The 13,311-nt window shown below is 36.7% G+C and overlaps 1 protein-coding gene and 1 long non-coding RNA gene across 18 annotated transcripts in view; one reads left to right on the top strand and one right to left on the bottom strand.

The window, feature by feature from the left end:
• The window catches only part of ENOX2 (ecto-NOX disulfide-thiol exchanger 2), a 280,885-nt gene that overhangs the window by 174,345 nt on the left and 93,229 nt on the right, over positions 1-13,311 (bottom strand). For 3 of the 17 annotated variants that reach the window (XM_011531245.3, NM_001382518.1, NM_001382516.1), the window contains one exon: positions 12,502-12,592. The exons of the other annotated variants lie outside the window; for them this stretch is intronic. In XM_011531245.3, coding sequence (XP_011529547.1) covers positions 12,502-12,592 — 91 coding nt within the window. The remainder of the gene's footprint in view (positions 1-12,501; positions 12,593-13,311) is intronic. 17 annotated transcript variants of the gene reach the window in all.
• Positions 5,967-9,729, top strand: ENOX2-AS1 (ENOX2 antisense RNA 1). Its single transcript, NR_135655.1, has 3 exons — positions 5,967-6,220; positions 6,600-6,671; positions 9,128-9,729. It is a non-coding gene; the product is annotated as an ENOX2 antisense RNA 1 (long non-coding RNA).

The raw sequence follows: 13,311 nt of genomic DNA on the forward strand, positions 1-13,311 counted from the left end.
ACACTTAATAGATTCCTTTGCTTTCTCCTTTCATCCTTCTCCCTTCCCTCCTCCCAAACAACTCCTTAAAATTTTATTAGAAAATCTTAACATTTTAATAACAGTATTCTTTTTGTTATTATAGTCTGTTGGATTAAGTTAACAATTCTCCCTTTAACAATACTCAAAGAAAGCCTGGAAAAATTAATGCTATGTTGTTTTTCTCCCTGCCAAAGAATATAGCAATGTAATTGTCTCCTGGAGAAGAAGCACTCTAATCATCTTTAACTTTAAAGTAAATTCATTTCAGGAAGATGCTCTGTGACAAACAATTGACAGAGCAAATCAGGGCTCCTAGAAGATTGCAAAGTGATGGATTGAGTTGAAGAGAGTGCCACAGCTGAATTCATGAACATTTTCAACTTAAGAGTGTCTCTGCAACAAAACAGCACTGTATGAGAGTTAAAATCATGTTACATTACATTGTGGGAGGTAGGACTTAAACACTGCACAGATTCTTAACACCTAAGAGTTCTAGGCACTCCAGAGGCAGGAAAAGTATAAGCCAATTTCTCTGATTAAAAAATAGAGAAACCATTGTACCAGGCAAAGTCAGACTGTAAAAGCATAGTAACTTTCCAAAAAATGCCTTAAAGAAGTTGAGATCAGAAAAGACCAAAACACTCTCTCAATCCAATTGATGTCACTAGGATCTTGGAATGGGTCTCAATGCCAAGGTATTACTCTTATTTGGAAGATCATTTCCACTTTCATTCCCTTCCTAATTGAATCTGTCTCCATCTTCCATTGTGTTTGTTCCATTATTATTTTTTAGACCCTCCCGCCCCGCCCTGACATTAGGCTTGGGGAAACTTATCCTTTGGAGAAGATTTGGATTAGTAAATTTACAGGCTTGACAAATTTACAGGCTCAGAATTTCCTGGAAATTGGCCACTTGCCTGAGATGATGGGGGAAGGAGAAAATGGAAGAGCAGGTGAACTAAGGCTCTTGAAAACTTGACCGAGCAGCTTGGCCTCCTGAGCAGATGCAATGATGACCATATAGCAGCAGTGCAGAAAAGCAATTCTACTTAAAGGTCCTTTCTTTGGGCTTTTAAAAGGCAATTGTTTTCTTTGGCACACATGTGACCCAAATCTGGTTTTCTCCAAAGTAAACAGAGGCAAAAAAAGGGCTCCCATGTTCTGTGTGTGTGTGTTGTTGTTGTTGTTTTTTAATCAGCCTACTTGCTTGCCCCAACCCAGGGCCCAACATAATATATTTGTCAGGAGTGGCCCTGGAGGAGATCAAGACTTTAAGGCAGTGTGTCTTATCCCTGGCTACATATTAAATTCAACTGGAGCACTGAGAAAAAAAAAGACAAAAACAAAACAAACAGAAAACAATGCCTGGACTCTACCACCAGAAATTCTCATTAAATTGGTCAGGGTGGAACCTAAGCATCTAGTTTTTAAAAGCCACCAGGTGGCCAGGCATGGTGGCTCACGCCTGTGATACCAGCACTTTGGGAAGCCACAGCAAGATGATCCCTTGAGTCCAGGACTTCCAGACTGGCCTGGGCAACATAGCAAGACGTCCATCTCTACAAAAAGTAAAAAACAAACAAACAAAAATTTAAAAAGCTACCAGGTGATTCTAATGTGCAGCCAGAATTGAGAAACACAGTTCTAAATAGTTTTCTAATTTAAAGCCAGAAAATGAGTATTCGCTGTCCAAAGTTTATTTTTATTTTTTAAAGTTCAAACCAGGTAACACTTAGAAGGTAAGTTAATTAACTCTGTACCTACAATCTGTAGGGAAAGGTATTGGTTGTGTGGTATAAGTACGTTAGACTTAAACTTGTCCAATTTATGATACTTTTATGAAAAATGAGATTCTCTTTTGGAAAGAAAGATTAGAAGGGTTACTGGAAAAACAAAAAGAACTGAAATATTGGAAACAAATTTAGACAAAGTATAATTACAGGATTAAGTTCCTTACCTTAGTTCTAGAAGAACCAGATAAAATACTTCAGAAATATTGTGTCTGTTTTCTTATTAATTTCCAGGAGAAAGGTTCCAAACTGCCCTTGGGGACTGGCTTTGAATCTCATAACCCTTGGGACTCCAGGCCACTCACCCCTGTCCTCAAGTAATCATTCATTTATACCAATATGTGTACAATGTCATGAAGAATACCGGAAAGCACTGCAACTATAACACCATTGGATAAAAATCACACTGAATGTGGTTTGCCGATGTCACCTGTCACCTCAGTAATTCCATTGAACTTTAGAAAGGATCTGGTAAAATATAAAAAATGCAAAGGCACAGTTAAGTGCTGTGATGGTTAATATTGAGTGTCAACTTGAATAGATTGAAGGATACAAAGTATTGTTCCTGGGTGTGTCTGTAAGGGCGATGCCAAAGGAGATTAACATTTGAGTTAGTGGACTGGGAGAGGCAGACCCACCCTTGATCTTGGTGGGTGCCATCTAATCAGCTGCTAGTGCACCTAGAATTAAGCAGGCAAAAGAACATGGAAGGACTAGACTGGCTGAGTCTTCTGGTCTTTATCTTTCTCCTGTACTGGATGCTTCCTGTCCTTGAACATCAGACTCCAAGTTCTTCAGCTTTTAAACTCTTGGACTTATATCAGTGGTTTGCCAGGAGCTCTCAGGCCTTTGGCCACAGACTGAAGGCTGCACTGTTGACTTCCCTAACTTTTGAGGTTTTGGGACTCAGAGTGGCTTCCCTGCTCCTCAGCTTGCAGACGGCCCATTGTGGGACTTCACCTTGTAATCATGTGAGTCCATACTCCTTAATAAACTCCCCTTTATATATACATCTACCCTATTAGTTCTGTCCCTTTAGAGAACCCTGACTAATACAAGTGTAGTGGAAGAACAGGCCATAAAGATGCAGGCTGTGGTCTCTGCTCTTCCATCAACTCATAGGGTAACCTTGGGTGAGTAATTCTTTGTCAGTTTCCTCAGCTGAAAAATGAGTTGAAACATGTGATCTGCCAGCTCTGAATTTAAGATAAAGAAAGAAAAGCTTAGATGGAAGACATCCATAAAAGCATGAAATAAAACTCAGTAATTAATAGGGGCAGAAAAGGAGAGCAGGGAGAACAGGGAGAGCCCTGGAAGGATGCTTTCCTAGTACCACCTACACAAAACTTATTTAGCAGGCAGTAAATGATTTAATAGTAGTACAGTTAAGGCACCCCCCCAAAAAATTAAAGTACTTCTGATGCTGCTCAAAAAAAAAGCCTTTTTAAGAATTTTGCTAATTATAAACCAGAACATGTAAGGAAGCACAGAACAGTTTTTTTTTAATGATGTTTAAATACCAATATATCTTCTAAGTAACTTGCCATCAATTAATATTATTTACGGAACAAGCATTATGAAACTCAGAAGAAGAGTCTAACGCTGAAATGCTAAAAGTATGCCCAGTATGGTAGGAATAAATTACCCTAATTGACCAAAGCTACGCTCACATGTGAGACATTTCAAAACACACTGACATAATGACAAAAATTCCTGTCTCTCTCTGCCAATGTTATAGGAATTGTTATTAAAGCCAAGCATGGTAGTTGTGTACACATAAAAGCAAGCAAAAATTATAATCTAGAGGTTTTTAAATTTAATCTTTTTTATTTATTAGTATTGTTATACAGCAATGAGTAGTCAAAAAAAAAAAAAAAACTAATCAGCGTGCATTATGCAACAATCAGAGAAAATACTCCTAATCCTCTGTCATTCTTTTTCCTTGGCCCCTGGGTACTCATTAAAGGTTAATTTATTTAAATCTCTTCAACATTCATTTCAATCTACTTTAATAAACTAATGAATCTTTGGAACTTTGCCTAATCAGCTTATGTTTTCTATTTTAATACATCTACAAAATGTCTTTTTTTTTAAGCTCCTTCTTAATAATTGTCTTCCCTTTTGGAGATAGAATTGTGCTTCAGTGACAACCTGATTTGTACATTTGGTGACACATTTACAACCTCATCCAGCACACAGGGAATAGCTGTGGCTTGCTTATTGTTCTTAAACATAGTTACATTTTAGAGGATAGTGAATTGATTTGTGTTTAGTAGGATAATAATCCTCCAAATTGAAATGGTCATTTTACAATTTAGTAAGAGTGACAATTACAGTAAAGCAAAGCTTCTAATAACTTTGGTGCTTGTCAAATGCTATGAGGGTCTATCAATGAAACAACTCCATTCTGGTTATTGTAAACCAGAGCAATGTATAGTATATACCATTTGGATTGGCAAATATAAGTGAAGTCTGGAGATGTCTTCAAATGAATAGTACAATCAAAATGGCGTATAAAATGGTTCCTTACAATCTATCCAATCACTATGTTCAACACATTTTGTTTAATGGCAACTTTGAGGAATCTTTCACATAACTATCTTTAAGTTGAATATTCTTACGGTGGTGGCCAATGGTCAGGGACTGCACGCCACCCTCTACACCAGAATGCCAGAAACCAAAGTCTTGGCGTGCTAGCACATTATTTCTAACTACTGCCTTAACAATATCTGACATCATCCTAGAATAACACGGCTTAGCAAGTGCTTCCACAATATCCTTATGGTGGGGGAAGGGGGAAGGTATTAATGTTGTTGGCTTGTAAATAAGGAAATTGCAGCTCAGAGAAGCTTCTGTATTTCCAAAAGGTTATAATGTCAATATGTGGAGGAGCTGGAATCCAGATTTTTGGGCTACAAATCTTTCCTCCTGTACCATGTTGCCTGCAGAGTTGTGTTCGGATAAATGTTTTTACTGATCCATGGCTCACCACTGATTAAAGAAAAAGTGTAAATGTTACCTTTAAGATGTCCTGATGAGGAACAAATAAAATTAATTAAAAATATATTATGACAAATTATTCAATATAACATAACTTCATAATACCGTAATTCATTTGGAGCATAACTTTACACAAAAGAGATGAAATTCTTAATTTTCAGTTTTATTTTCTATACAAATTAATAAAAATAATAAACTTATTCCTCACCCATGATCTGAATTTCGGGTAAATTTCTAATGGAAGTAGATACATTGTCAAATGTTTTCAAGTTATCACCTCCGATTTTCCAAATAGAAACTCCAAGAATTACCTTTCAGATTTCATTGTTCATTCATTACACATCTCTCTACCCATTCATTCATTCATTCATCCAATCATCCAAATGACATTTACGGAATGTCTACTTTGAGGCAAGCAAAAAGTCAAAGGTAGACTCTACCTGAAGCTCTTGCTGCTGCTTTACTTCCCTAGACTATGAACTCCTTGAAGACAGGGGATCCTGTTATTCTACACAGAATATAATCAGTTCTATTTGCAGAAAATCACTTAAATACTTTTTTGACAGTGAGATTTCTGGCTCCCCCTGCCGCCCACATGCCCCTCCAGACATATGGGAGTTAGAGGAAGAAATAGCAGAGTCTGCTTATCAAGTCTGACCTTTGGATAATGACTATAGTTCTCCCATCTGAGCTTGCTGCTGTTCTGCCTTGTGGTCAACAAAATGATTTGGCTCAAAATGGCAATTCATCTGTTGCTGCTTCCCAGATATCCTCTAGCAAGCCACATTATTTTTTTTAAAATGGTTGCTTCTGCCCTTCGGCATAGAGGTGAACTGTATCACCAAATATATTGTCTTGCTTGATACAGTGAGAAGCTGGGGTTTACAGAAAAGATGCAGATAAACATGAAGCAGCCGCGAAAGAAGAAACATTCGTTTAGTGCTATGACTAAACAAATGCTTGACTTTATTATTTTAACAACAATAATTTATATTCAGAGACTGCTATTATCCTTTCAACTTTGCTTCACATCCACCTCACAGCTACTTTGTGAGGTGACCAGAGAAGGCATTATTACAAAGTTAAAATACGGAATTCTAAAGCTCAGAGACGCTAAAGTGACTTGTTTAAAGTTCCACAGCAAGCCAGTGGCAGAGTTTGGTCTCCCAACTAACACTCCAGGGATCAGGCTTCTCTATTAGGGGTCCTAGTCAACAGGAGAGTTGCATTTTTAATAATTACTAGGAGCCATGAAGAACTAATCCATTGTTTCAGTTTGTACTATTGCCTAGTTAATTATTTAGAAATGATTTATTAAAAACAAGAAGTGAGGAAACCATCATGCTAAGCAGGCAATTCTGGACAAGAGACTTCTTTCAAGCAAACTGAACATTGATTAAGCTCAAAAAGTTAGTATTTAAATAAACAAAGGCAATGGTAAAAATATTTTGTCTGTATTAGAATTCCTTGTAGTTATGCAAGGATGAAGCCCGTTATGCCATGATACATTTTTTATTCACAAATAATGAAGGCATGAATGAGTATTACTTATGGAACATTTCTGCAGTTTCTAGACTCCTTCTAAAATGTAAGAATATGGGCTTTATGCATATTTGGTGCAAAATATTTGTTGGATCATGTAATATTTTTAAAAGTGAATAATTTATAAAATCATAGAGGGTCTTCTGATTTTTATTATCATTTAATATTTAATTCTACAAAACAGAATTAAATACTTTGTTTTGAAAATAGTTTATTAAACACAGTTGCATTTCTTCATCTTTCTAGGCCTCATCTTCAAGATTATGTGGGATTTTATTAACTGATTTTTCTAAGCCTCTGGCTTCTTTCTTCCTCACTGTAAGTAAACCACAGGCTATATTACACACATATATTTTGTTAAAATACATGTTACTTCCATTGCTTCCTGGACCACCACAAAAGAGAGCCCTTAGTGATCCAAGTCAATTCACCCATATTTAAAACCTTTTACATTTCAAAAACATGTATTATAACATGATTAGATCTGTACTTTACAAATAAGCCAGAAAGTGACATATGTGGCTTAATTACCAACCCCAAATAATTAGTGTTGGAGCAAGAAAATGAATTAAATGGAACACAGCCCAGTCATCCTAGCAAAAGGGATTACAGATAGGAGCTGGAATAACTTTGGGAGAAGCCAAACATATATAAGAAGGTTAATGAATTAAAAAGTTGTTATAGGTAATTCAAAAGAAAAAGAAAAATGCTGACTACTACCAAAAAATTCCACAGCATATTACTGAAACTGCCACATCAAATACTTTAACATACCCCTCCCTAGGGACGGATAGAAGTTTGCTTGGTATAGTGTATTTTCTAGCATAACATTGTGATAAAAGGATCTGAAAATAAAAAGAAATGAATTGTATTTTTTTCCAAAAGCTATACAATGAATTCACCTTTTCACAGAGGATAGAGATCATGAAGAAAAGTGAAATTCATATGGACCCCAAACCTCTCATTTTGGCCCATAGTTTCTGCCTCCTTCCCCATCAGAATCTCCACCAGAGCACTAACAGGTAGCAAAATTGGCTGATAGAAGCATCATTCTCCTATTCCTTCCCTGCCCACCCTCTGGTAAAAGAATTAATGAGCAGTAAAATTACCAAAAGTGAGGCAGCAGAATGGAGAATAAAGAATACCAAGGGTATGGATAACCTACAAACCAGATAATGAGCTCCTGAATAATCAAGACTTGACTTAAACCTCAAACCTCTAACCTTCTGGCTTAGACCCATCATTCTATACTTATATTTAGTGTCTTAAACACAGAACTGCCACAGAATTGCAGTTTGTCTCTAAGTCCTTGTTTATAGGAAATGGGGGGCAAGAAGTGATGTCTAAACTTTGGCACTTTGAACACTGTTAGTAGCCTCTCTTGACACTCCATTATTTCCCTCGTCTTGGGCACCCAAAGATGTTATTAACCTTTGTAGGAGTCCTGAACATTATAAGAGGTAGTTGACAATTGCACTAGTATCTCTTCTTCCCTCTCAATGCAGATACCAGCCTTCAGCTGTTCCATCACATTCACCTAAAAGGCTTCTCTTTGGTTTTTCTTTAAAACTTTCTTCCTTCTCTTCCTTCCCATTACTTAATGTAGTGGGGCCACTGCACAAAAATACTCTTTGTCCCCTACCACTAAAAAGGTGATCCTACTTTTAGAATTCACGTCAATTTTTCACAAGCTTCCTGTTATAACTATTTTATCCAGATCCAGATACATTTCTCAACTCAATTTTCTGAATCCTGGTATCTTCCTTGGTGCATAAGCCATTAATATCTCAATTCGCAGAGATCTCACACTTCCTGGTAAAACTTTGCCCATTCCACTTAACTATGGTCTGAATGCTTGTGTTCCCTGTTACCCAAAATTCATAGGTTGAAACCTAATCCCCAAGGGTGATGTTAGTAAGACATGGGGTGTTTGAGGGGTGATTAGGTTGACATCCCACATGAATGGGATTAGTGTCCTTATGAAAGGGGCCTGAGGGAGTTTGTCCCTTCCACCATATGAGGACACATACAAGGTACCATACATGAGGCAGAAAGCCCTCACCAGATGCCAGATCTGCTGGCACTTTCATCTTGGACTTCTCAGCTTCTAAACTGTATGCAATAAATTTCTGTTTATAAACTACTCAGTATTTTGTTATAGCAGCCCGAACAGACTAAAACACCATCACAGTGATGGTTTCAAGGCAGCTTTTGGACTTCAAAACTGCTTTTCCATATTTTCAGAAATGTTCTTTCAACAAATAATGCCAAGAATAAAGGAAAAAGGGTTACCAAGTCCGGAAGAACATTTAAGCTGAATGTCGTGGAACGGCAGGGAATAACAGTCCAGGATTCTTAAATTAGAGAAATAAATTCCTAGGGAAAATGTCTGAGACAGTATCAGTAACAAAGTATTCCTTGTGACCATGCCACACTGGCTGCCCATTCTACGCTCTGCCTGTGTTCCTTTTTGTTTTAAAAATTGCTTTCGAGCCATGTGTAAGTACAGTTTCTTTTTCCTAAGCTAATGGCATCTTGTCTGCTCAACACTCACCCTCACCCCTGGCACAATCATGGGTACACATGCACATTTACACACCACCATATGTCATATCCATAGACACTCAATACATGCTGGGACACATTTTACAATGGTCCTCTCGCTACCTTGCCCTGGTATCAACTCGATCTCTTTCTATCACTTATTCTCACTTCATTAGAGGCATGGAACTGAGGCAGACATAGTGAATGGAGTTACTGTCTCCTTTATTTAGGAAAAAATGTCAATGTCAGAAGCAAAGTTTGACTCTGTGATGGCAATGATTGTTCCTGCTCGCAGCTGAAGAGGATGAGAGGAAACCCAGATTGGAAGTATTTATTCCCAAGGCTTTACTATAAGGAAACAAGTAATTTTATCAGAAACAAGTAATCCATAATTTGCTGTACCTCAACTGCAGTGGTATGCTCAACTAGTAGAGTTCACATAGAAATACTTGGATCTGTTTGCAGGAGATTGCTTCTACCAGACTGGGCAAGGTGTGGTCTCAGAGTGCATTATCATTTAAACAAAGGATGCTATGAATCACAGATGACAGAACCAGAAAAACGCTTGCTCTAGTGTACAAAGTTTGGCTGATACTTAACCTTTGCTAGGGGAAAAGGAAAAAATTGCAGGCTGCTACACCGGCAGCCTAGAACACCTTTTTAACTACATTCAAGCCTTTTACTGTTACAGAACATTATTACTGTTAATACTGCCATGTGTGACTGAGAATTTGTACCACTGACTTACTGAAAAAGCATCTTCTACTTAACAAATTCAAATAAATTTAATTCTATGTACTAGCAGAAGTAATTAAAAGCAAATGAATAAGGACTGCATAACTGCATAAATATTTCCATAAATTCTTGCACAAAAGAAGGATAATGAGTGGACAATAGAATGCTAAAATATTAACAATGCATCATAAGAATTTAAAAAAAAATTTTTTTCCAAATCAGCAAGATGTACTAAAATGTAACTTTTATCATTATTAGAGCTTAAGTTCTCCTTCTAGAATTACCACTGACTCACTAAGGGCTTTGTGCTAATCATTCAATCAGATTTCACATTCATGATATTTATTCTGAAACAGCCTAATGGGGCTCAAGGACTAAAATAACCTCATTAATTAGATTCCCTCACATGGAGTCCAAGATGAAAACTATCAACACCAAATAGCACTCTACAGTTACAAAGATGTTTCATATCATTTCATATTTACAAAGGTATTTCATATCATTTCATGTTTAATTTTTATAACTCTGGGGGTTAAAGTAGGTATTATTATTACTTTCTTAAAAAATGAGAAAACTGAGGTTTAAAAAGGTTAATTGGCCTGATAGAGTTCATTAAGTGTTAAACTGGTCTCAGGACTCCAATTTTAGTGTTCTAGCACATAGTACAGTGCCTAACACATATGGGTATTCAATTAGCATTTGTTGAATTGAGTGAATGAATATAGCATGCTACTTCTCCTAACTACACTTGACCTAATTTTACTCATTTGCAAACAGCCCTATAGTTGCATTCCAAAGTAGTTGATAAGGTCATTTACTTTCCAATAAGGAAGCAAAATGCCACTGTGAAAATAAATTTAGCCATCTATTTTGGTGACATAAGGCCCATGAGCTGAAAGAATAAGATATTCAATGTCCAGCTGTTATAAAGTTTGGAAAAAAGTTGGTAAAAATATTCGTATGGTTGCTTTAAAATGATGAACTGATTATCACTATTATTTTGTTGGGGAGGGACCTTTCAGTAAGGTTGCATGGAAAAGCAGATTAAAATTGGGAAAGGCATTTGAGTTCCCAACATGAAAATCAACAATGCCTCTTGTTATGCCTTTCATTCACAGACAGAGAAAAAGAAGTTTCAGAGTTGGCAGGGACCTTGGCAGTCACCTAGTCTAACTGCTGTCTCTTCCTCCCCTCCACTGCTGCCATTTTACTAGAAGTCACAGCTAATTAATGGCAGATCCAGCACTAGACCCCAGTCTTCTTACTGGCAGGACTCCTCATGGAAGCAGTTGGGGACTTATATTCTCTCTATAGGTGCCATCTAAAATTATTCATTTTAGTCTAAAGTCCTTCCTTAACCAAGGTGAGTACCATATAGCCCTGCTTGAAAATATAGGATTCCCTTACAGTACAGCTTAAGTGGCAATAGGTTGTGTTATGGTTAAATGCTTCTCTGGCCTTTTCAAACAACCAGAATAGTAGACTAAGAAGGGCTCTGGAGTCAAACTGTCTAGCATGACAATCCTGCCCTGCCACTTACTGACTGTGCAGCTTTGGAAGAAAATTAACTCCTCGAACATTGATTTCTTTGTCCGTAAATGAGGATATTATCTACTTCACAGAGCTTTGTGGAACTTATATGAAACAATTCAAGCAAAGCATAGTCAACAGATAACCTGATACATAGCAAAAATACTCAGTAAAAATGAGTTGACTTTTACTCATTCTTCCTTACTTGTAGTTGCCCTAGATACCTGAGCTTAAACTGATCAAATAAACCTTGGATGACTTTCCTTTTATTCAATTAACATTTATTGAGCAATTACTACATGCTAGGTTCTTGAAATACAGCAGTGAACAAAACAGACAAAAATCCAGGCCTTCATGGAGCTCACATTCTAGTAGCAGACACAGAAAATAAACAAAATAAATAGGTAAAATATATAGTATGTTGGTGATTAAGTGCTTTGTCCAAATACAGGAAGTACATTAGGTATGTTAGCAAAAGCTGTGACCTCATTTTCTAGGAAACATTTGGTGTCTCTTACCTTCCTCACCTGTTTTTTTTTAGAGCTAAGACAACAAAAACTAAGACTTCTTTACATAGCCCCTTCTAATCTTGGGATATAAAGGTAAATGGCATAAAATATGGATAGGTGAGTTGTGTATGTGAATGGGTTAGAAGGTATTACTGGTAATTGAATTATTCAGAAAGCAAGTTCCAATATTTAGCCATAAAACTGGAATTAAAAATGTGTACAAAAATACCACCAATTAGGTTAAAAGGAGGGCATATGCAGCGTTGGAAAGAAATTTCAAAATCTGTAACATCTGTAAAGCTGGCAGAGATTGTTACTGATTGTAGCAGGAAGGGGTAGATCCCAAACTCTGGCAAACGTGATTTGGGTGGGATAGCAAATAGCCTAGCAAGACTAAAAAATCGTTTTGAGAATAACCCTATATCATAAGGACCTCTCCTTAATTTATGTTCTCCAAGCACTTTCAGTCTCTATCATCTTATTGAGCTATGAAATGTATAGATGTTCATTTCGTATATTGTCTCTCACTTCACAGAACTAGAGAGACTAAACTACTAATTTTATATCTTTCTTAGTATATCATAGAATGCACATTTATGGTAGGCTACTAATTGACCTTGTATGTGATATAAAGACCAATACATTTTTAGTTATTTTTAATTACAAAGTCTGGTCAATATTTTCTTCAAGATCCTCTGGCCTGGAAGTGAGTTTCTGTTATGTTCCTATTGAGCAACAAGAAATAGTGACAAAGGTGACAAATGCAACAAATGACAATGTTCATGAGAGTTTTATTAAGTTTATTAACAGAGACATACTGCTTTACTTACCTGAAGATATCAGAAAATTACAATTTGTTTCATCTTTGTTGGTAGCTGCACTAGCTGTTCCATTACAGAGGAGGAGTTGATTTATGTGCAGCTGTTGAAAACACAATGAACCAGTCACCACAATTTTAACAAGTGTTAATGCTGGCATATCCACTTCAGATAGCATTTATAACACTGTCATGAAGAAAGTTTACAGTATACTACCTAAAGTAATGATGCTAGTTCCACATTTGCCAAATTTGGTGTCACTACTATAGTACTGGATTCTACTGGGATGACAATAAAAATTCACTCTTTCATGGTCCTTTAAACAAGGCCAAAGCATATGTCCAAGATCGATGTTTTTTTATTCTCCCCAAAGTAAGCTTTATAACACTTGGACTGGGAAAAAACAAAGTTTGTTTTATTATCCACAATTAAGTCCCTCCTTAGATTTGTCTCCCTCTTCTCATTCTTTATGTATTAAAATTGTGAGTAGAACAATTTAGTCATAGTTACAATTAGGAAAGGGGTACATTTTTACTACAAGTTAAAGTTAAGTCTTCACCCCCAAGAAAGTTACAAAATGTGTGTCGTGTGTGTGTGTGTGTATGTGTGCATGTGCGTGTGTGTATCTGCAGAAAAGAGGTAGACAAGGAGCAATAATACAATGTGATACATACTTAAAAAGCACCAAAAAATGGAGCGAGATGATTGAAAGTGGAAAGACCTGAGCTAAATGGTGGACTAGAGCTTCTTGCACTCCTCTCCCCACAGAAACATCAATTTGAACAACTACCTACACACAAAAATACCTACCCAAGAGTGAAG

The sequence above is a fragment of the Homo sapiens genome, chromosome X, assembly GCF_000001405.40.
Source record: "Homo sapiens chromosome X, GRCh38.p14 Primary Assembly".
In the NCBI taxonomy this organism is placed as follows: Eukaryota; Metazoa; Chordata; class Mammalia; order Primates; family Hominidae; genus Homo; species Homo sapiens.